The sequence below is a fragment of the Homo sapiens genome, chromosome 19 (genome assembly GCF_000001405.40).
Source record: "Homo sapiens chromosome 19, GRCh38.p14 Primary Assembly".
Taxonomy (NCBI): domain Eukaryota; kingdom Metazoa; phylum Chordata; class Mammalia; order Primates; family Hominidae; genus Homo; species Homo sapiens.
Window position 1 is genome coordinate 41,640,413 of NC_000019.10, and position 23,597 is coordinate 41,664,009.

A 23,597-nucleotide genomic window follows, 5' to 3' on the forward strand; every position below is an offset into this window, starting at 1 on the left:
GTGTCCTCTCCCTTATTCCCACTTCAGCAGAAACCCTCGATCCCTCTCAGAGCCCTGCCCTCCCCAGGAGACCACTGCCAGTCTCTATTCTCCCTCCTCCCACCCACTCCCAGAGAATCTTCCCCTCACCTATTACCAAGAGCCCCTGCCAGGGAATGAATCCTCTGCGGGGAGGGGCTGAGGGGGTCCCAGGGTCTCTGCTGCCTGCTCTGTCCTCCACTGTGGAGAAGAGCTTGGGCTCCAGAAATGCTCCCAAGCATGGCTGCTCTGACTGTCAGCTGTGCTGTTTGTGCTGAAACTCCTCCCAGGGCACTTCCCAGGTGGGCCTGAGGTGTGGTCTCAGCCCAGGATGCTTCTCTGTCCCCTCCCTTCTCACACTTGCCTCCTTTTTCTTTGCCTTTTCCTTCACTTCTGTCTACATTTTGGCTCCCCCAGAACATGCTTTGAGAAGCAACTCTTATTTGGACCGCTGTACCATAACAGGATGAGCTGCGTTCCTCTGCGCTGACCTCTGCTGTGTCCTGGGTGTGGATCTCTTATGCACCACGCAGAGAGTCCCTAGGGTCCCCCAACCCAGCTTTTTCCTCTATGACACAGAAACCCCTCTGTGCATTCAGAGTCTTCCTAGTGTTCTCTAATGGCTGGGAAAGTTGGATTTACTCCCAACAAGGAGGTCACAGAGATGTCCAGGGAGAGGGTTCCTAGAAATGCACACATGGGGCTAAAACCCATGTCTAAGATTCTTAGTTTTCCTTTATGCAGCACTATGAGACTTTAATTTTATAGACATAACTGAAGATGAAGCTGCCTGGTGCTATAGTATTATGTCTCCCAAGCCTCAGATATTTATAGACCATCTCTATAATGTTTTCTACAGTTTGTACCATCTTTATTATTATTGACTTCATACATTTTTTCTAAATAAATTTACTTTACAAAACACCCTTGTCCCAGCAGCGTGCAATGGCTTACATTGTAATCCCAGGTACTTGAGAGGCTAAGATGGGGGGATCACTTGAAGCCAGGAGTTTGAAACAAAACATCCCCGTCCTTTGCAATATTGTCCATGAAATTAAAGGTTTTGTGAATTTGCTTAAAATTGTTTCTAACATGCATTAAAATAAACATATAACTATTAAAGTTTCTTAAAAGCTTATTTATGTTCCACCTAAAGTCAGTTTTGGGAAACACTGATACAGTGGAATAACCATGGACTTTTTATATCCAGAGAGACCTGGGACTCACTACTGGTTCTGTCACTTAACTGTGTCATCTTGCACGAGTCACTTGGCTTCTTTGATCCTCGATTCCATAATTTTTAAAATGATGATGATAAAATCCACTTTGCAAGCTGTTAGGAATAAGATTTGCTTCAGTCAGGAGGTGGAGGTTGCAGTGAGCTATGATTGCACCACTGCACTCCAGCTTGGATGACGGAGCAAGACTCTGTCAATGAAAAAGAAAAGAAAGAGAGAGAGAAAAGAAAGAGTTACTTCCACTTGTTAGGACTTGTGGTGCGTCTGCCATTGTTTTCATTTCCCAGTTCCACTACCTATGTGCTCTGTGATTTTGATCAAGTTGCCTAACTTTTCCTCATTTACCTAATTTGTAAAATGTGGGGTTTACCAGTACACTAGTGTGAGTGTTATTTCCCAGCTCTGACCACTAGAGGGCGTAGGAGCATCGGCACCCACTGGCAATGGATGTGTCGGTGCCCATGGTTTACCAACATCATTCTCCCATGAAAGGAACCAGGGCTCCCTGGAGAAATAGCTGATCCAGGGCTGGGGCAGGAAAGCACAAGAGAAGCCCGGAGCTTTTTGTGAGGCCAGAAAGTAAGGAACCACTCGAAAAATTATGGGAATGTTTCAAAAGATTACAGGGAGCTTAGAATTACCAATTTTGGGACAACATGAGCAACATAATAATGATAGCAATGGATTCCAACCCATAAATATCCATGAGTCCATGCTGATATAAATAATTGAACAAAGAAATAAATAAGGAAGAAGAAATAGCTCTTTCTTATAGCAGAATTCCAATTAATAAATGTAGAAGGAATTATGGAAATAAAAAATCACTATTTGGCTAACACCACAGTAATAATTGTTTATAGGCCAGAATCAAGAACCATCCACAGATTCTAAAAATTAATGGGTAAAGGTAAGATGATGCTGTAACTATTGAGTATGAAGGAGGGGTCAGGGGAAGTAAGGTGAGAAGAAACAGGCTACTGGTTTGTTCCCAAAGTATCTGTCCACAAGATACTTATTAATTACAATGAGATGAATAGTAACTTTATAGTAGAGAAACCTGGCAAACACCACCTGAACCAAGCGCTTAAAGTGAACCTCATCGGTAATGAGAGATATGGACATCCTGGGGCTCCAGGTGGGATGTCCTGAGAAAGACACATCACTTCTGTGCTAATCTTACCCAAAATGCATAACCTAAAACATCCCAAGGAAACAGGAGACAAACCCAAATTGAGAGGCATTCTACAAAACAACTGACCAGACCTCCTCAAAAGTGTCAAGGTCCTGAGAGAGGGAAAGAGTGGGAAACTCCCCCAGGTTGGAGGAGGCCTAGGAGATGTGACAGTGTTATTCAGTGTCAGATCTTGGATTGGATTTGGGAGCAGAAAAAGGACATGAGTGGGATGATTAGCAAAATTTGAATATTTGTAGATCCCCTTGGTTAATGTTATTGCACCAATGCTAGTTCCCTGATATGAACAATTATATTAGTTATAGAAGATGTTATTTGAAAAAAAAAGCTGGATAAAGGATAAACTGGAACCCTATTTTTAAAGATTTTTGAATGTTTAAAAATAAACATGATAAATGAGGCCGGGTGTGGTGGCTCACGCCTGTAATCCCAGCACTTTGGGAGGCCGAGGTGGGCGGATCACGAGTTCAGGAGATCGAGACCATCCTGGCTAACACGGTGAAACCCCATCTCTACTAAATATACAAAAAGTTAGCCGGGCGTGGTGGCGGGCGCCTGTAGTCCCAGCTACTCGGGAGGCTGAGGCAGGAGAATGACGTGAACCCGGGAGGCAGAGCTTGCAGTGAGCCGAGATCACGCCACTGCACTCCAGCCTGGGCGACAGAGCAGGACTCCATCTCAAAATAATTAATTAATTAATTAATTAATTTAATTAGATTAAATAAATAAACGTGATAAATGAAAAGTCAAAATTTTAAAAATGCTTTAGATTTCTGTGAGGCCAAAATGAGTGTATAGTGCTTAGAACAATGCTTGTGACATAGGAGTTCTTAACATGTCAGCTATTATTATAAGTACTTTTATAATTAATAAGTAATGTTATAAGGAAAGAGTAATCTGTTATTATAAGTAATTTATTTCCTAATGTCCTCATATATTCTCATATTTTTTTCCTCTCTGCTGTTAAATCCATATAGAGCATGTACTTGGTTATTTTAAGATATAAGATTAGAGGAGGTCGCGGCGCCGGAGGCCCCAGAAGGGTCGAAGGCGCCGCGGGCTGGGGTCGGTGGCTTAGGGAGCCCGTCTGGCCATGGTGGCCGCGGCTGGTGGTTGGCGCGGCTGCGCTGCGGCCCGGGGCAGTGCGGAGCCAGGACAGTCGCGGCGCTGACGCCCGCGGGCCCCAGCTGCAGATATGAAGCGGAGCCGCTGCCGCGACCGACCGCAGCCGCTGCCGCGACCGACCGCAGCCGCCGCCGCGACCGACCGCAGCCGCCGCCGCCCGACCGCCGGGAGGATGGAGTTCAGCGGGCAGCGGAGCTGTCTCAGTCTTTGCCGCCGCGCCGGCGAGCGCCGCCCGGGAGGCAGCGGCTGGAGGAGCGGACGGGCCCCGCGGGGCCCGAGGGCAAGGAGCAGCCGCCTGCCTTGGCCTCCCAAAGTGCCGAGATTGCAGCCTCTGCCCGGCTGCCACCCCGTCTGGGAAGTGAGGAGTGTCTCTGCCTGGCTGCCCATCGTCTGGGATGTGAGGAGCCCCTCTGCCTGGCTGCCCAGTCTGGAAAGTGAGGAGCGTCTCCGCCCGGCCGCCATCCCATCTAGGAAGTGAGGAGCGCCTCTTCCCAGCCGCCATCACATCTAGGAAGTGAGGAGCGTCTCTGCCCGGCCGCCCATCATCTGAGATGTGGGGAGCGCCTCTGCCCCGCCGCCCCATCTGGGATGTGAGGAGCGCCTCTGCCCGGCCGAGACCCCGTCTGGGAGGTGAGGAGCGTCTCTGCCTGGCCGCCCCGTCTGAGAAGTGAGGAGACCCTCTGCCTGGCAACCACCCCGTCTGAGAAGTGAGGAGCCCCTCCGCCCGGCAGCTGCCCCGTCTGAGAAGTGAGGAGCCTCTCCGCCCAGCAGCCACCCCATCTGGGAGGGAGGTGGGGGGGGGCCCCCCCCACCCGGCCAGCCGCCCCGTCCGGTAGGGAGGTAGGGGGGTCAGCCCCCCGCCTGGCCAGCCGCCCCGTCCGGGAGGGAGGTGGGGGGGTCAGCCCTCCGCCCGGCCAGCCGCCCCGTCTGGGAGGTGAGGGGCGCCTCTGCCCAGCCGCCCCTACTGGGAAGTGAGGAGCCCCTCTGCCCGGCCAGCCGCCCCGTCCGGGAGGGAGGATGAGGGGGGGGTCAGCCCCCCCGCCCAGCCAGCCGCCCTGTCCGGGAGGTGAGGGGCGCCTCTGCCCGGCCGCCCCTACTGGGAAGTGAGGAGCCCCTCTGCCCGGCCAGCCGCCCCGTCCGGGAGGGAGGTGGGGGGGTCGGCCCCCCGCCCAGCCAGCCGCCCCGTCCGGGAGGGAGGTGGGGGGGTCGGCCCCCCGCCCGGCCAGCCGCCCCGTCCGGGAGGGAGGTGGGGGGGTCGGCCCCCCGCCCGGCCAGCCGCCCCGTCCGGGAGGTGAGGGGCGCCTCTGCCCGGCCGCCCCTACTGGGAAGTGAGGAGCCCCTCTGCCCGGCCACCACCCCGTCTGGGAGGTGTGCCCAACAGCTCATTGAGAACGGGCCAGGATGACAATGGCGGCTTTGTGGAATAGAAAGGCGGGAAAGGTGGGGAAAAGATTGAGAAATCGGATGGTTGCCGTGTCTGTGTAGAAAGAAGTAGACATGGGAGACTTTTCATTTTGTTCTGCACTAAGAAAAATTCCTCTGCCTTGGGATCCTGTTGATCTGTGACCTTACCCCCAACCCTGTGCTCTCTGAAACATGTGCTGTGTCCACTCAGGGTTAAATGGATTAAGGGCGGTGCAAGATGTGCTTTGTTAAACAGATGCTTGAAGGCAGCATGCTCGTTAAGAGTCATCACCAATCCCTAATCTCAAGTAATCAGGGACACAAACACTGCGGAAGGCCGCAGGGTCCTCTGCCTAGGAAAACCAGAGACCTTTGTTCACTTGTTTATCTGCTGACCTTCCCTCCACTATTGTCCCATGACCCTGCCAAATCCCCCTCTGTGAGAAACACCCAAGAATTATCAATAAAAAAATAAATTAAAAAAAAAAAAAAAAAAAAAAAAGAATGGACTTTCCCAGGCCAGCTGTGGTGGCTCACGACTGTAATCCCAGCACTGTGGCAGGCCAAGGCGGGCAGATCACCTGAGATCAGGAGTTCAAGACCAGCCTGACCAACACGGAGAAACCCCGTCTCTACTAAAAATAAAAAACATTAGCTGGGCGTGGTGGTGCATGCCTGTAATCCCAGCTACTTGGGAGGCTGAGGCAGGAGAATTGCTTGAACCCAGGAGGCAGAGGTTGTTGTGAGCTGAGATTGCACCATTGCACTCCAGCCTGGGCAACAAGAGGGAAACTCCATCAAAAAAAAAAAAAAAAAAAAGGACTTTCTCAAAGAAAATGTATTTAAATGTCTGCACCAATAATTCCAGCATGTGTATGAATAAATATGATATGTCCTTTAAAAAAAAAAAAAAAAAAGATATAAGATTAGGTCTGACGTGGTGGCTCACACCTGTAATCCCAGTGCTTTGGGAGGCCAAGGCAGGCGGATCACTTGAGGTCAGGTGTTGGAGACCAGCCTGGCCAACATGGTGAAACCTCGCCTCTACTAAAAATACAAAAATTAGCGGGTGTGGTAGGCGCGTACCTGTAATCCCAGCTACTTGGGAGGCTGAGGAGGGAGAATCGCTTGAACATGGGAGACTGAGGTTGCAGTGAACAGAGATGGCACCTCTGCACTCCAGCCTGGACAACAGAGCAAGGCTCCGTTTCAAAAAAAAAAGACATAAAATAAGATTAGATTTTATTTTGAGAATTATTTTAGGGATAGAGGAGCTATTATTTCCTTTAGCCACTAACAGTAGCTGAAATTCAGGCCGGATTGCAAAACTTTGCTTGGCTGAGAAACAAAGCTTGAGCCAGGCTGCCACCCACCCCACGCGGTTTGTGATGGCGCCCCCTGGCGGCGCAGCGAGCTTTCCGGTTCCTCAACCTCGTGCTTTAGGAGCGATATTTTATTTTATTTTATTTTATTTTATATATTGTTAGTTCAATAGTTTTTGGTTACATGGATAAGTTCTTTAGTGGTCATTTCTGATATTTTGGTGCACCCATCACCCAAGCTGTGTACACTGTACCCAATGTGTAGTCTTTAATCCCTCACCCTTCTCCCACCCCTTCCCGCTAAGTCCCCAAAGTCCATTACATTATCCCGATGCCTTTGCATTCTCATAGTTTAGTTCCCACTTATAATTGAGAACATGTGATATTTGTTTTTCCATTCCTGAGTTTCTTAGAATAATGGCCTCCAGCTCCATTCGAGTTGCTGCAAAAGACCATAATTTCTTTCCTTTTTATGGCTGAGTTAGTAGTCCATGTTGTATATATACCACCTTTTCTTTATCCACTTGTTGGTTGAGGGGCACTTAAGTTGGTAGGAGCGACTTTAGAAATTCCACTCAGTCTATTCCTTGAACGCTTTCTAGCTCACATTGTGGATCCTTTAATCTTCACAACATGTCTCTGTAAGAAGTGGTATTTTTAACATTTATTTTATTTATTATTTATTAATTTATTTTGACAGGGCCTCGCTCTGTCATCCAGGCTGGAGTGCAATGGTGCAACTATGCTCACCGCAGCCTCAACCACCTCCAGTTCATATAACCCTCTGCCTCCGCCTTCCAGTAGCTGGAACCTCAAGGGCACACCACCGCACCTGGCTAATTTTTTAAAAAATTTTCTAGAGACAGGGTCTCACTTTGTTGCCAGGGCTGGTCTCAAATGCCTAGCTTCAAGTGCTCCTCCTGTTTCAGCCTCCCAAAGTGCTGGGGTTACAAGCTTGAGCCACCAAAGCTGGCTAAGAAGGAGTATTTAATCCTCTTAAGATGATAAAACTGAGGTTCAAAAGAGTAAAGCAACTTGCCCAGGGTTGCAAAGGGAGTGGCAGAGCCAGAATTTGGACCTAGGTCCCCCTGACTTCCAGGCTGAGTATAAATGTCTAGGTGAATCTAAATGTGTATCCAGGTAGAGAAGTATTGGTGTAGAGCAGGTGTTGTCAATTGGGGGTGGTTTCCCCCACAGAGACAGTTGGCAATGTCTGGAGATATTTTTAGTTTTCATAACAGGGGTGGGGATGGGAGAGATGGAAGGCTGCTATTGGCATCTAGTGAAGAAAGGCCACGTGGATGCTGCTGAACAATGCACAAGGCACAGAACAGCCCCCACCACAAGCAATTGTTCAGCCCAAATATCAGCAGAACTGCTATGAAGCCCTGGTTGGACTTAGAAACCTGAAGATGCATTCTTGCAGTTAGCTAATGTTTGCCAAGTACTGAGCTGGACAACGTGAGGGATATGGAAACAGTGCACCACTTTGTGCTGCCAAGGAGGCTGCAGCCTAGAAGGTCAGGGGTTGGAGGCAGGAGAGGCGCATGAAGGCCTTCAACATAAGGCAGCAGATGATAAGTGTCAAGAACAGAGTGTCCAGTAGGGCTAGGCCAGCTCTCAGGAGGGAGACCACATGTCTGGCTGTGGGAGAAACTGAGGGAAGCTGTGGAAAGGTGGTTTTGAGCTGGGTGTGTGAGCAAAGTTGAGCTGATGGGAAAACACAAGACCTGTTCAGGGAAGGGCAAAAAGTCTAGTTTGGGTGGGGAGAGAGTATTTTTTTATTGAGTAGAGAGGGAAATGCTGGAAAAGCAGGTTGGGGCTAGAGCTTTGAGTCCAGGCTAAGGACTCAAGCCTGGGTGTCTGTCACAGAGATGGAAAAGCCTTTCCTCTCAGAATGGTTGTCTAGACCGTAGGGCTACGGGGCTCAGCAGTTTCCCGAGTGCTCTCTCTACAAAGGAGGGGACATTGGAAATTGTAGTGTAGGAGGGTGAACATCTCCTGATTTTAGGACCAATTTCATGCTGAGTATGTGACAAACCCATTTCACATCAAAGTGGCCCTTGGGTAGATGGTGTTCCCAAGTGAAAATTTACATGGGGTGAGCTCTCTTCTGCGTGGTTGCTCTGTGAAAGCCTGGGCCACTTTATACTGAAAACCCAGAGCAGACTTGAAGCCCCTAAGCAAAGGTTTGCTACCCTAAAGGTGAGTTGCTACAGCAGGACTTGCTATGGATAAAGTTGCAAATATGGACACTACCTGGTGACAGGATTTTTCTAGTTTATTACTTTACCATTAAATAGCATTAAGACATGTTTGTGGCATGTATGGTACACTGTAAAGACTATAAGTAAGGATTTCCTGACCTTCTATACATGTACAGTTGCCTTTAACAACCTCCCACCTCTGCCACCATGTTTGGCCCCAGAGAAATGCATTACTCTTCTGGAAAAGGGGTTAGAGGAGAAGGCAAGAGAGCAAATATTTGTTGAGCTAGCGTGTGTGTGTGTGTGTGTGTGTGTGTGTGTGTGTGTGTATTTGCCAGCTACCGTTGTGGACACTTTCCCATACAGTATCTTAACTCTCTTGACACCGTTTGTATATAAGTACAGTTTACTTCTTTTGATAAAGGAGGAAGCTGGCACTGGAAAAGACTAACTTGCCCTAATCCCCTGTAGCTGAAAGAAGCTACATTTTGATGCATGTGTGGCCCACTATGCCACATTTTCTCCTCCCTTTTTTCCATTCATAGGCAATTAATCTTATCCACCTGGACTTGGGCTGCTAGAGACCATGGTCATTAGCATTAGTGGCAGCAACAGAAGGAGGAAAGAGATTAGAACTTTCATTGTGATTGTTGGTGCAGCTGTAAGTCATTTGAAGACTGTATGGAAGTTTCCCGGTTGGAGGCTCCTGATCTCTGGGGATGGCTCAGGCCAGGGTACTCAGCCCGGTGGTCTGCACTTTAGTCCCAGGTCAGTGTTTCCATCTGAGGGCAAGAGCAGGTGAGGTGATGCTGGCCTTACTGTTAAGTAACAGATTAGACGATGTGCTTTCCAGAAATGTAGGAGATAAAATTCCTCAAACAAAAAAATAAGACAGAAGGTGTTGCAGCAGAGAGTTTAATACTTGCAAGATGGCCAAGCAAAGAGGATGGGAGATATTTTTCAAATCTGCCTCCCCAAGAATTTGGAGACTAGGGTTTTAAAGGAGTGTTTGGAGAGCAGGGGACTAGGAAATGGACACGGCTGATTGGTTGGGCTGGAAATGAAATCATCGGGTGTCAAAATTGTCTTGTGCACTGAGTAAGTTCCTGGGTGGAGCTCACAGGACCAGTTGAGTCAGTTTCTTAGTGTAGGTCAACAGTCTGGGTGGTGTCAATTGATCCACCAGAATGCAAAGTCTAAACAATATCTCAAACTCCAGCCTTAAATTTCACAATAGCAATATAATCTATAGGAGCAATTAAAGAACATATAAATCTTGTGCCCACTGGCTACGTGACTCCTGAGCAGCAGGTAATTATAAAAACAAAAAAAAAGATGGGGAACAATGACTGTTTGCTGTTTAACTCTGCCTATATCTTAGCTAAATTCAGGCCCCTACCATAATTCTAACCTTGCAACATTTCATTTGTTTTACAAAGTTGGTTTCAATTCCAGAACAAGAAGGGGATTAGTTAAACTATAAATTCCTTCTATAGTTAGGCTGGCCTATGTACAGGAATAAGCAAAGGTGGATAGTTTGTGAAGTTAGAAGCAAGATGGAGCCAGTTACATTGGATTTCTCTCACTATTAAAATTTTCCAAGGGTGGTTTCAGTTCCCCCTGGGCTTAAGCATTCCTTATTCCTGAGGTGTGAGCAGATGATGAGATGGAAGGGGTTGATAACCACTCTAACTTCTTCCTGATGATAGGGGGCATCATTGGGGTTTATTCCAGGATAGGAGAAATGAAACTGTCTTGCTGTCGTCTTCCTATATTCACGAATGCCTGGTTGGGGACCCAAGTTTTGCATGACAAGGATATTAGTATTCACATCCCCAGCCGCAGCACAGTACTTAAGTGAACAGCAGACTGTAAGTGTTGAGCCCTAATATAAAGAGTGAAAGCCCAAGTCTCAAGAGTTCTTGTGGAACTGATCTGAAATTTTAAGGCATCCAGATAAATAACACCGAGAACCAATCAGACATGGGGTCACCGGTAAAGACCTGCTGTAACCATGAAGTTTCTTGGGAATTTCTTTCTATCCAGATTTCAACTTCTCCTGAGGTGTTTATATAGGTGCAACAAGTGGTGTTTCATATTGCACAAATTCCCCTTTGTCTAGCCAACAGGAAATCAAGCACCAACAGATTGTCTAGGACTACGTGAGCTAGCAAACTGAAGGAACTTTGTTGAACCCTAAGGGTTTTTGCAGTTTCTTCTAGACAATCAATCCGAAGGTAGCAGACAGGTTCCTGATCATGTCTCTGTTGCCATAAACACCATAACTAGGAACAAATATCCCTAGAAGGCTCTGCCACCAGGTATCTTGATGTCTGCCTGAAGTCCTCGTTTTGTTCTATGGGGAAATCAGTGGAATTTATCACCATGAAGATAGGCTGAGAAGGGAGTTACAAAATGTCCCGGTAAGCAGGAGCCCTTGATATGCAGGCTATTGAGACACAGGTGGGCTCATCCTAATAGAGCCTGCAGATACCTGTATGAACTGGATGAATTCCTCTCTTTGCAAGGTCCCAAAGTAACTTGGGGTTCCTGGCCTATCAGAAAGTGGCATTCTTTACTTACTTCACATCAGAAATCCTGTAAAGGAACTGCATAGACAAGGTACAAGACCAGCTCTTCCAAGGGGCTTTTATTGGCTCTATAAGTCAACTTCAATTTCTGAATGCAGGCTGCTCATTCCAAAGATAGCTCACTGAAAGGAAAATTCAAGACAGGGAATCAGAAGCTGTCCATGAAAGGGGATAAGATCAATAAATGGCAAAAGTCACAGAGATATCAAACCAGAAAAATCTGCCTGAGCCAGACATCAAACCCAGTCCACTGCAGTGAGAGGGCAAACCTTAGCCACTGAGCTACAGTGTAGGGCAGTCTCCATTGCTATTCCCAGAAGTAATCTAGAGCAGGCAGTGTTCAGCTTACAGAAGATTTTTTTCTAAATTTTTAAATTAATTAAAACATTATAGAGGAGACAAACAGTTATTCCTACCCTTTTGCCAGCTTGTCAGCTTCCTGGATTCCCTTTGTCTGTGGCTTCCAGAAGACCAGAGTTGGGGTCAAGCCATGTTATAAAAGAAAATCATCCTTTTCCACTTCATGGAATCATAAGCAAAAGGCCTCCCAATTTTGCAAGATGCAGCCCAATGGGCTGCACAGGAGAGCCAAATTAACATTTCCCATTCTGGCTGAAGTGATATACACATAACAAAACACAGACACTAGTCACCCAACTCAGCACCCATGTATCAACCTGACAAAGCTCAAACTTGCCCTTGTTGGCCCCTATCATCTTTGATCCATTCAGGGTATGAAGATATAACCTCTGACCAGGAGTTCAATGGGTAGTCTCTGGGAAAGATGGGAAAGTGACTGTCACCCTGAGTTAGGCTGGCTGAGTTTCCACTAGCGATTCCTTCAGAGTTCACCAAATGTGACTACCCAGATAAACAGCTCCCAGAGTTAGGCCTGCTGAGCTTCTGATAACAAGCCCTTCAGGGAATCCCCTCCATAAACATAAATGTACATAACAAGACAAAGACAGATGAATACAAATTCAAGAAGGGAGGGAAAAACCTGCAGTGACCCCATGGTCAGGGCTGAAGGCAGCGAGTGCACTGCGAGCTTTGGGTTTCTGTGGTCAGCAAGCCAGAGCAGCACCTCTTGGGTGGGCTGAGCCCACCCCACACCCTCAGCGCGCTGAAACACAAGAGTTTAGCACTCAAGGGGATGCCCCAAAATGCTGCCGGTGCTGCCCCTGGACAGGACTGTCCTCCAGCACATCCTCAGCCACTGAGGAGCCATCAGCTTCAGCTCCAGCTCCATGTTCTTCAGCTGTCCCAATTCCCGGCAGCTATCCCAGAGGTGTGGAGCTATCTCCTATGACAGTTCTGATCACACTGCATTATACCTCATGTGCTAGGAGATGTACATGTAAGGAGCCAAGCAGGATTTGAATCTGAAAGAAGAGATTCTCAACTATATATTGATTTTCATGTTTTCCACTTGGGCTCTTCATGCCAGAATTAAAAATTTCCCTAGATATTATCTGTCACTAAAAGGTATTTGTGGGAAGATGGTGGACAGGAAGCAGGACTACATTGCAACTCCAGCTCAGAGGGACAGAGTGGTGTGTAGAATCACATTGTGAACTCTTGCTCCAGAACTATTGCAGGAATATACCAGGAAAGCTGAGAGAATCCACAGATCCTCTGAAAGAAGCAGATTGCTCCGGCAGGACCCAGGAGACAGCCCAAATACTGTGCTGGTATCCATGGATGAGAGATCTGAAGATGATTTACATCATAGGTCTCTGTGCAGACACTCCCAGTACCAGCCTGGAGCCTGGTAGCCTTGCTAGGTGGCTAGATCCTGAAGAGAAATAACAATCACTAAAATTCAGCTCTCAGGAAGCCATATCCCTCAGAAAAGGGGGAGAGTACTACATCAAGGGAACACCCTGTGGGGCTAAAGAATCTGAACAGCAGCCTTGAGTCCCAGATCTTTCCTCTGACATAGCCTACCCAAATGAAAAAAAAACAAAAAAACAAAAAAAGAAAAACAGAAAAACAACTCTGGTAACATGGCAAAACAAGGTTCTTTAACACCCCCCTCCAAAAAAAAAAAATCACACTAGCTCACCAAAAATGGATCCATACCAAGAAGAAATCCCTGATTTGCCTGAAAAAGAATTCAGACTATAGATTATTAAGCTAATCAAGGAGGCACCAGATAAAGGTGAAGTCTAATTCAAGGAAATCCAAAAAAATGACACAAGATATGAGAGGAGAAATTGTCAGTGCAACAGATAGCATAAATGAAAAACAATAAAAACTTCAGGAAATAAAGAAGACTCTTAGAGAAATGTAAAATGTACTGAAAAGTCTCAGCAATAGAATTGAACAAGCAGAAGAAAGAACTTCAGATATCAAGGATGAGGTTTTCAAATTAATGCAATCCAACAAACACAAGAAAAAAGAATTTAAAAAATGAATAAATCCTCCAAGAAACTTGGTATTGTGTTATACAACCAAACCTCAGAATAATTGGTATTCCTGAGGAAGAAAAGAAATCTAAAAGTTTGGAAAACATATATGGGGAAATAAACAAGAAAAACTTCCCTGGCCTTCCTAGAGACCTACACATCCAAATACAAGAAGCTTAAAGAACACCTGGGAAATTCAATGCAAAAAGATCATCACCTAGGCACATTGTCATCAGGTTATCTAAAGTCAAGATAAAGAATCTTAAGAGCAGCGAGGCAAAAGCACCAGGTAACCTATAAAAGAAAACCCATCAGATTAACAGCAGATTTCTCAGCAGAAACCCTACAAGCTAGAAGGAATTGGGGCCCTATCTTCAGCCTCCTTAAAAAAAAGACAATTATCAGCCAAGAATTTTGTATCCAGCAAAACTAAGCCTCATAAATAAAGAAAAGATACAGTCTTTTTCAGACAAACAAATGCTGAAAGAATTTGACACTACCTAGCCACCACTACAAGAACTGCTAAAAAGGAGCTCTAAATCTTGAAATAAATCCTGGAAACACATCAAAACAGAATGTCTTTGAAACAAATCTCACAAGACCTATAAAACAAAAATACAGTTAAAAAAATTCTAAATCTCAATACTAACATTGAATGTAAATGACCTAAATGCTCCACTTAAAAGACACAGAATTGTAGAATTGATAAAAATTTACCAACCAAGTATCTGCTGCTTTCAAAAGACTCACCTAACACACAAGGACTCACATAAACTTAAGGTAAAGGGGTGGGAAAAGACATTCCATGCAAATGGACATGAAAAGCAAGCAGGAGTAGCTATTCTTATATCAGACAAAACAAACATTAAGGCAACAGCAGTTAAAAAAGACAAAAAGGGACATTATATGATGATAAAAGACCTTATCCAACAGGAAAACATCACAATCTTAAATATATATGCACCTAAATTTATGTTCCCAAATTTATAAAACAATTACTACTAAACCTAAGAAATGAGAGATACAGCAACACAATAATAGTGGGGACCTCAATACTCCACTTTCAGCACTAGACCAGTTATCTGGACCAAAAGTCAACAAAGAAACAATGGATTTAAACTATACCCTGGAACAAATGGACTTAACAGATATTTACAGAACATTCTACCCAACAACCACAGAATATACATTCAATTCACCAGTATGTGGAACGTTCTCCAAGATAGACCATATGATAGGCCACAAAACAAGTCTCCCAGGATCTGAGCAGAAATAAATGAAATTGAAACAAACAAACAGAAACACAAAAGATGAATAAAACAAAACGTGGTTCTTTGAAAAGTTAAATAAAATTGATAGGCCATTAGCAAGATTAACCAAGAAAAGAAGAGAGAAGATCCAAATAAGCTCAATTAGAAATAAAACAGAAGATATTACAACTGACACCACAGAAATACAAAAGATCATTCAAGGCTACTATGAGCACCTTTATGTGCATAAACTAGAAAACCTAGAAAAGGTGGATAAATTCCTGAAAAGATGCAACCTTCCTAGCTTAAATTAGAAAGAGTTAGAAACCCTGAGCAGACCAGTAACAAGCAGCAAGATTGAAATGGTAACCAAAAAATTACCAACAAAAAAAAAAGTCCAGGACCAAACAGATTCACAGCACAATTATACCAGGTATTCAAAGAATAATTGGTGTAAATCCTACTGACACTTTTCCACAAGATAGAGAAGGAGGCAATCCTCCCTAAATTATTCTGTGAAGCCAGTATCACCCCAATACCAAAACCAGGAAAGGACATAACAACAACCAAAAAAAAAAAAAAACTACAGACCAATATCTCTGATGAACATAAATGCAAAAATTCTTAACAAAATACTAGCTAACCAAATCCAACAGCTTATCAAAAAGATATAATCTATCATGATCGAGGGGGTTTCATACCAGGGATGCAGGGATGGTTTAACATTCACAAGTCAATAAATGTGATGCATCACATAAACAGAATTAAAAACAAAAATTACATGATCATCTCAATAGATGCAGAAAAAGCATTTGACAAAATCCAGCATTGCTTTATGATTAAAATCCTCATCAAAATCGGCATACAAGGGACATACCACAATGTAGTAAAAGCCATTTATGACAAAGCCACAGCCAACATAAAACTGAATGGGAAAAAGTTGAAAGCATTCCCTCTGAGAACTGGAACAGGACAATGATGCCCACTCTCACCACTTCTACTAAACATAGTACTGGAAGTCCTATCCAGAGCAATCAGACAAGAGAAAAAAATAAAGGGCATTCAAATCAATAAAGAGGAAATCAAACTGTCACTGTTTGCTGATGATTTAATTGTACATCTAGCAAACCATCAAGACTCCTTCAAAAAGCTTCTAGAACTGATAAATGAATTCAGCAAAGTTTCAGGTTACAAAATTTATGTACATAAATCAGTAGTTCTGATACATCAACAGTGACCAAGCTGAGAATTGAATCAAGAACTCAACCCCTTTTACAATAACTGCAAAAATAAAATAAAATAAAATACTTAGGAATATACCTAACCAAGGAGGTGAAATATCTGTAAAAGGAAAACTACAAAACACTGCTGAAGGAAATCATAGATGACACAAACAAATGGAAACACATCCCATGCCCATGCATAGATAGAATCAATATTGGGAAAATGACCATACTGCCAAAAGCAACTTACAAATTCAATGCAATTCCTATCTGTATTAGTCCATTTTCATGCTGCTGATAAAGACATACCTGAGACTAGGCAATTTACAAAAGAAAGAGGTTTAATTGAGGGTATGGCAAGGTGGCCAAATAGGAACAGCTCTGGTCTGCAGCTCCCAGTGAGACCAATGCAGAAGGTGGGTGATTCTGCATTTCCAACTGAGGTACCCAGCTCATCTCATTGGGACTGGTTAGGCAGTGGGTGCAGCCCATGAAAGGTGAGCAGAAGCAAAGTGGGGCATGACCTCACCCAGGAAGCACAAGGGGTTGGGGAACTCCCTCCCCTAGCCAAGGGAAGCCATGAAAGGCTGTGCTGTGAGGATGGTGTTATCTGGCCCATATACTGTGCTTTTCACACGGTCCTTGCAATCCACAGGCCAGGAGATTCCCTTGGGTGCCTACACCATCAGGGCCCTGGGTTTCAAGCACAAAACTAAGCGGCTGTTTGGGCAGACAATAGCTACCTGCAGGAGTTTTTATTGTACCCCAGTGGCACCTGGAACACCAGAGAGACAGTACCATTTACTCCCCTGGAAAGGGAGCTTAAGTGAGGCAGCTGAGTGGTCTTGCTCAGTGGAGTCCACCCCCACAGAGCCCAGCAAGTTAAGATCAATGGGCTTGAAATTCTCGCTGCCAGCACAGCAGTCTGAAGTCTATGTGGGAAGCTTGAACTTGGTGGGGGGAGGGGCGTCCACCATTAGTGAGGCTTGAGTAGATGGTTTTCCCCTCACAGTGTAAACAAAGCCTCCAGGAAGTTCAAACTGGGTGCAGAACCCACAGCAGCATGGCAAAGCCACTGTAGCCAGACTGGCTCTCTAGATTTCTCCTCTCTGGGCAGGACATCTCTAAAAGAAAGGCAGCAGCCCCAGTCAGAAGCTTATAGATAAAACTCCCATCTCCCTGGGAAACAACACCTGGGGGAAGGGATGGCTGTGGGCACAGCTTCAGCAGACTTAAACGTTCCTGCCTACCAGCTCTGAAGAGAGCAGCAGATCTCCCAACACAGCACTTGAACTCTGCTAAGGGACAGACTGCCTCCTCAAGCAGGTCCCTGACACCCGTGCCACCTGACTGGGAGACACTTTCCAACAGGAGTTTACTGAGACCTCATACAGGAGAGCTCTGGCTGGCACCTGGTGAGTGCCCCTCTGGGATGAAGTTTCCAGAGGAAGGAGCAGGCAGCAATCTTTGCTGTTATGCAGGCTCCACTGGTGATACCCAGACAAACAGGGTGTGGAGTGGACCTCCAGCAAACTCCAGCAGACCTGCGGAAGAGGGGGCTGACCATTAGAAGGAAAACTAACAAACAGAAAGTAATAATATCAACATCAACAGAAAGGATGCCCAAGCAAAAACCCCATCCAAAGGTCACCAACATCAAAGACCAAAGGTAGATAAATCCGCAAAGATGAGGATAAACCAGCACAAAAAGGCTAAAAATTCCAAAAATCAGAATACCTCTTCTCCTCCAAAGGATCACAACAAGGGAACAAAACTGGACAGAGAACGAGTTTGACAAATTGACAGAAGTAGACTTCAGAAGGTGAGTAATAACAAACTCCTCTAAGCTAAAGGAGCATGTTCTAACTCAATGCAAGGAAGCAAAGACTCTTGATAAAAGGTTACAGGAACTGCTAACTTGAATAACCAGTTTAGAGAAGAACATGAATAATCTGATGGAGCTGAAAAACACAGCATGAGAACTTCATGAAACGTATACAAGTATCAATAGCTGAATCGATCAAGTGGAAGAAAGGATATTAGAGATTGAAGATGAACTTAATGAAATAAAGTGTGAATACAAGATTAGAGAAAAAAGAATGAAAGGAATCAACAAAGCCTCCAAGAAATATGGGACTATGTGAAAAGACCAAACCTATGTTTGATTGGTGTACCTTAATGTGATAGGGGAGAATGGGACCAAGTTGGAAAACACACTTCAGGATATTATCCAGGAGAACTTCCCCAACCTAGCAAGACAGACCAACATTGAAATTCAGGAAATACAGAGAACACCACTAAGATACTCCTTGAGAAGAGCAACCCCAAGACACATAACTGTCAGATTCACCAAGGTTGAAATGAAAGAAAAAATGTTAAGGGCAGCCAGAGAGAAAGGTCGGGTTACCCACAAAGGGAAGCCCATTAGACTAACAGTAAATCTATCTGCAGAAACCCTACAAGCCAGAAGAGAGTGGGGGCTAATATTCAACATTCTTAAAGAAAAGAATTTTCAACCCAGAATTTCATATCTGACCAAACTAAGCTTCATAAGTGAAGGAGAAATAAAATCCTCTACAGAGAAGCAAATGCTGAGGGATTTTGTCACCACCAGGACTGCCTTACAGGAGCTCCTGAAGGAAACACTAAATATGGAAAGGAAAAACCAGTACTACCCACGGCAAAAACAAACCAAAATGTAAATACCATTGACACAATGAAGAAATTGCCTCAACTAATGGGCAAAATAACCAGCTAACATCATATGACATGCTCAAATTCACACATAACAATATTAACCTTAAATGTAAATGGGGTGAATGCCCCAATTAAAAGACATAGATTGCAAATTGGATAAAAAGTCAAGAACCATTGGTGTGCTGTATTCAGGAGGCCCATCTCACGTGCAAAGACACACATAGGCTCAAAATAAAGGGATGGAGAAAGATTTACCAAGCAAATGGAAAGCAAAGAAAAGCAGGGGTTGCAATCCTAGTCTCTGATAAAACAGACTTTAAGCCAGCAAGGATCAAAAAAGGCAAAAAAAGGCATTACATAATGGTAAAGGGATCAATTCAACAGGAAGAGCTAACTATCCCAAATATATATGCACCCAATACAGGAGCACCCAGATTCATAAAACAAGTTCTTAGATAACTAAGAAGAGATTTAGACTCCCACACAGTAATGGTGGAAGACTTTAACATCCCACTGTCAGTATTAGACAGATCAAAGAGACAGAAAATTAACAAGGATATTTAGGACTTGAATTCAGCTCTGGACCAAGCAGACCTAATAGACATCTACAGAACTCTCCACCCCAAATCAACAGAATATACATTCTTCTCAGCACCACATAGCACTTATTCTAAAATTGACCACATAATTAGAAGTAAAACACTCCTCAGCAAATACAAGAGAACGGAAATCATATCAAACAGTCTCTCAGACCACAGTGCAATCAAATTAGAACTCAGGATTAAGAAACTCACTCAAAACCGCACAACTACATGGAAACTGAACAATCTGCTCCTGAGTGACTACTGGGTAAATAACAAAATTAAGGCAGAAATAAATAAGTTCTTTGAAACCAATGAGAACAAAGACACAAGGTACCAGAATCTCTGGGATACAGATAAAGCAGTGTTTAGAGGGAAATTGTAGCACTAAATGCCCACATGAGAAAGTGGGAAAGATCTAAAATTGACACCCTAACATCACAATTAAAAGAACTAGAGAAGCAAGAGCAAACACATTCAAAAGCTAGTGGAAGACAAGAAATAACTAAGACCAGAGCAGAACTGAAGGAGATAGAGACATGAAAAACCCTTCAAAAAATCAATGAATCCAGGAGCTGGTTTTTTAAAAAGATTAACAAAATAGATAGACCACTATCCAGACTAATAAAGAAGAAAAGAGAGAAGAATCAAACAAACACAATAAAAAATGATAAAGGGGATATCGCCACTGATCCCACAGAAATACAAACTACCATCAGAGAATACTATAAACACCTCTATGCAAATACAGTAGAAAATCTGGAAGAAATAGATAAATTCCTGGACACATACACCCTCCCAAGACTAAATCATGAAGAAGTCAAATCCCTGAATAGACCAATAACAAGTTCTGAAATTGAGGCAGTAATTAATAGCCTACCAACCAAAAAAAAAAATAGACCAATAACAAGTTCTGAAATTGAGACAGGCAGTAATAGCCTACCAACCAACAAAAGCCCAGCACCAGATGGATTCACAGCCAAATTCTACCAAAGGTACAAAGACGAGCTGGTACCATTCCTTCTGAAACTATTACAAACACTAGAAAAAGAGGGACACCTCTCTAACTCATTTTATGAGGCCAGCATCATCCTGATACAAAAACCTCGCAGAGACACAACAAGAAAATAATATTTCAGGCCAATATCCCTGATAAACATTGATGCAAAAATCCTCAATAAAATACTGGCAAACTGAATCCAGCAGCACATAAAAAGAGCTTATCCACCATGATCAAGTCAGATTCACCCCTGGGATGCAAGGCTGTTTCAACATATGCAAATCAATAAACGTAATCCATCACATAAACAGAACCAGTGAGAAAAAACACATGATTATCTCAATAGATGCGGAAAAGGCCTTTGATAAAATTCAACACAACTTCATGCTAAAAACACTCCATAAACTAGGTACTGATGGAACATATCTCAAAATAATAAGAGCTGTTTATGACAAACTCACAGCCAGTATCATAATGAATGGGCAAAAGCTGGAAACACTCCCTTTGAAAACCGTCAGAAGACAAGGATGCCCTCTGTCACCACTCCTATTCAACATAGTATTGGAAATTCTGGTCAGGGAAATCAGCAAGAGAAAGAAAAAAGGGGTATTTATATAAGAAGAGAGGAAGTCAAATTGTCTCTGTTTGCAGATGACATGAATTGTATATTTAGAAAATCCCATTGTCTAATCCCCAAAACTCCTTGATAAACAACTTCAGCAAAGTCTCAGGATACAAAATCCATGTGCAAAAATCACAAGCACATCTATACACCAATAATAGACAAACAGAGCCAAATCATAAGTGAATTCCCCTTCACAATTGCTACAAAGAGAATAAAATACCTAGGAATACAACTTACAAGGGATGTGAATGACCTCTTCAAGGAGAACTACAATCCACTGCTCAAAGAAATAAGAGATGACACAAACAAATGGAAGAACATTCCATGCTCATGGATAGAGAGAATCAATATCGTGAAAATGGCCATACTGCCCAAAGTAGTGTATAGCTTCAATGCTATTCCCATCAAGCTACCATTGACTTTCTTCACAGAATTAGAAAAAACTACTTTAAATTTCATATGGAAACAAAAAAGATCCCACATAGCCAAGACAATCCTAAGCAAAATGAACAAAGCTGGAGACATCATGCTGCCTGACTTCAAACTATACTACAAGCCTACAGTAACCAAAAGAGCATGGTACTGGTACCAAAACAGATACGTAGACGAATGGAACAGAGCAGAGGCCTCAGAAATAACACTACACATCTACAACCATCTGATCTTTGACATATGCAGGAAACTGAAACTGGACCGCTTCTTTACACTTTATACAAAAATTAACTCAAGACGGATTAAAGACTTGAACATAAGAACTAAAATCACAAAACCCTTAGAAGAAAACCTAGACAATATCATTCAGGACACAGGCATGGGCAAAGACTTCATGACTAAAACACCAAAAGTAATGGCAACAAAAGCCAAAATTGACAAATAGGATCTAATTAAACTAAAAGCTTCTGCACAGCAAAAGAAACTATCAGCAAAATTAACAGGCAACCTACAGAATGGGAGAAAATTTTTACAATCTATCCATCTGACAAAGGGCTAATATCCAGAATCCACAAAGAACTTAAATAAATTTACAAGAAAAAACTAAACAACTTCATCAAAAAGTAGGCAAAGGATATGAACAGACACTTCTCAAAAGAAGACAACATTTATGCGGCCAAAAAACATATGAACAGACACAGAGCCAAACCATCACTGGTCATTAGAGACACGCAAATCAAAACCACAGTAAGATGCTATCTCATGGCAGTTAGAATGGTGATCATTAAAAAGTCAGGAAACAACAGATGCTGAAGAGGATTGGAGAAATAGGAATGTTTTACACTGTTGGTGGGAATGTAAATTAGTTCAGCTATTGTGGAAGACACTGTGGTGATTCCTCACAGATCTAGAACCAGAAATACCATTTGACCCAGCAATCCCATTATTGGGTATATACCCAAAGGATTATAAATCATTTTGCTATAAAGACACATGCATACGTATGTTTATTGCAGCATTATTCACCATAGCAATGACTTGGAACCAACCCAAATGCCCATCAATGATACACTGGATAAAGAAAATGTGGCACATATACACCATGGAATACTATACAACCATAAAAAAGAATGAGTTCATGCCCTTTGCAGGGACATGAAATGAAACCATTATTCTCAGCAAACCAACACAGGAACAGAAAACCAAACACGCTTGTTTTCACTCATAAATGGGAGTTGAACAATGAGAACATATGGGCACAGAGAGGGGAACATCACACACTGGAGCCTGTCAGGGGTGGAGGGCTAGGGGAGGGATAGCATTAGGAGAAATACCTAATGTAGATGACGGGTAGATGGGTGCAGCAAACTACCATGACACATTTATACCTAAGTAACAAACCTTCACGTTCTGCACATGTATCCCAGAACTTAAAGGATAATTTTTTAAAAATAAAGAAAAAGAAAGAGCTTTAATTGGACTCACAGTTTCACGTGGCTGGGGAGAATCATGGCAGAAGTCAAGGAGAAGCAAGTCACATCTTATGTGGATGGCAGCAGGCAAAAAGAGAATGAGAGCCAAGAGAAACAGGTTTCCTGTTATCAAACCATCAGATATCATGAGACTTATTCACTACCACAAGAACAGTATGAAAGAAACCGCCCCCGTGACTCAATTATCTCTCACTGGGTCCCTCCCACAACACATGGGAATTATGGGAGTATGATTCAAGATGAGAATTGGGTAGGGACACAGAGTCAAACCATATTATTCCACCACTGGCTCCTGCCAAATCTCATGTCCTCACATTTCAAAACTAATCATTTCTTCCCAACAGTCCCCCAAAGTCTTAACTCGTTCAGTATTAACTCAAGAGTCCACATTCCAAAGTCTCAACTGAGACAAGGCAAGTCTCTTCCACCTATGAGTCTGTAAAATCAAAAGCAGATTAGCTACTTCCTAGATACAGTGGAGGTACAGGCATTGGGTAAACACAGCCATTCCAAATGGGAGAAATTGGCCAAAACAAAGGGGCTACAGGGCCCATGCAAGTCCAAAATCCAGGGGGGCAGTCGAGTCTTAAAGCTCCAAAATGATCTCCTTTGACTGCATGTCTCACATCCAGGTAATGCTGATGCAAAATACGGGTATCCATGGTCTTGGGCAGCCCTGCCCCTGTGGCAGTTCCACATGGCTGGAGAGGCCTCAGAATCATGGCAGAAGTCAAGGAGAAGCAAGTCACATCTTATGTGGATGGCAGCAGGCAAAAAGAGAATGAGAGCCA

At 43.8% G+C, this 23,597-nt stretch overlaps 1 long non-coding RNA gene across 1 annotated transcript; it reads right to left on the bottom strand.

Moving 5' to 3' along the window:
* Positions 1 to 908: 908 nt before the first annotated feature.
* Positions 909 to 22,838, bottom strand: LOC105372405 (uncharacterized). Its single transcript, XR_935972.1, has 3 exons — positions 22,799 to 22,838; positions 11,090 to 11,219; positions 909 to 1,446 (listed from the first exon to the last, which is right to left on the bottom strand). It is a non-coding gene; the product is annotated as an uncharacterized LOC105372405 (long non-coding RNA).
* Between the last annotated feature and the right edge of the window lie 759 nt (positions 22,839 to 23,597).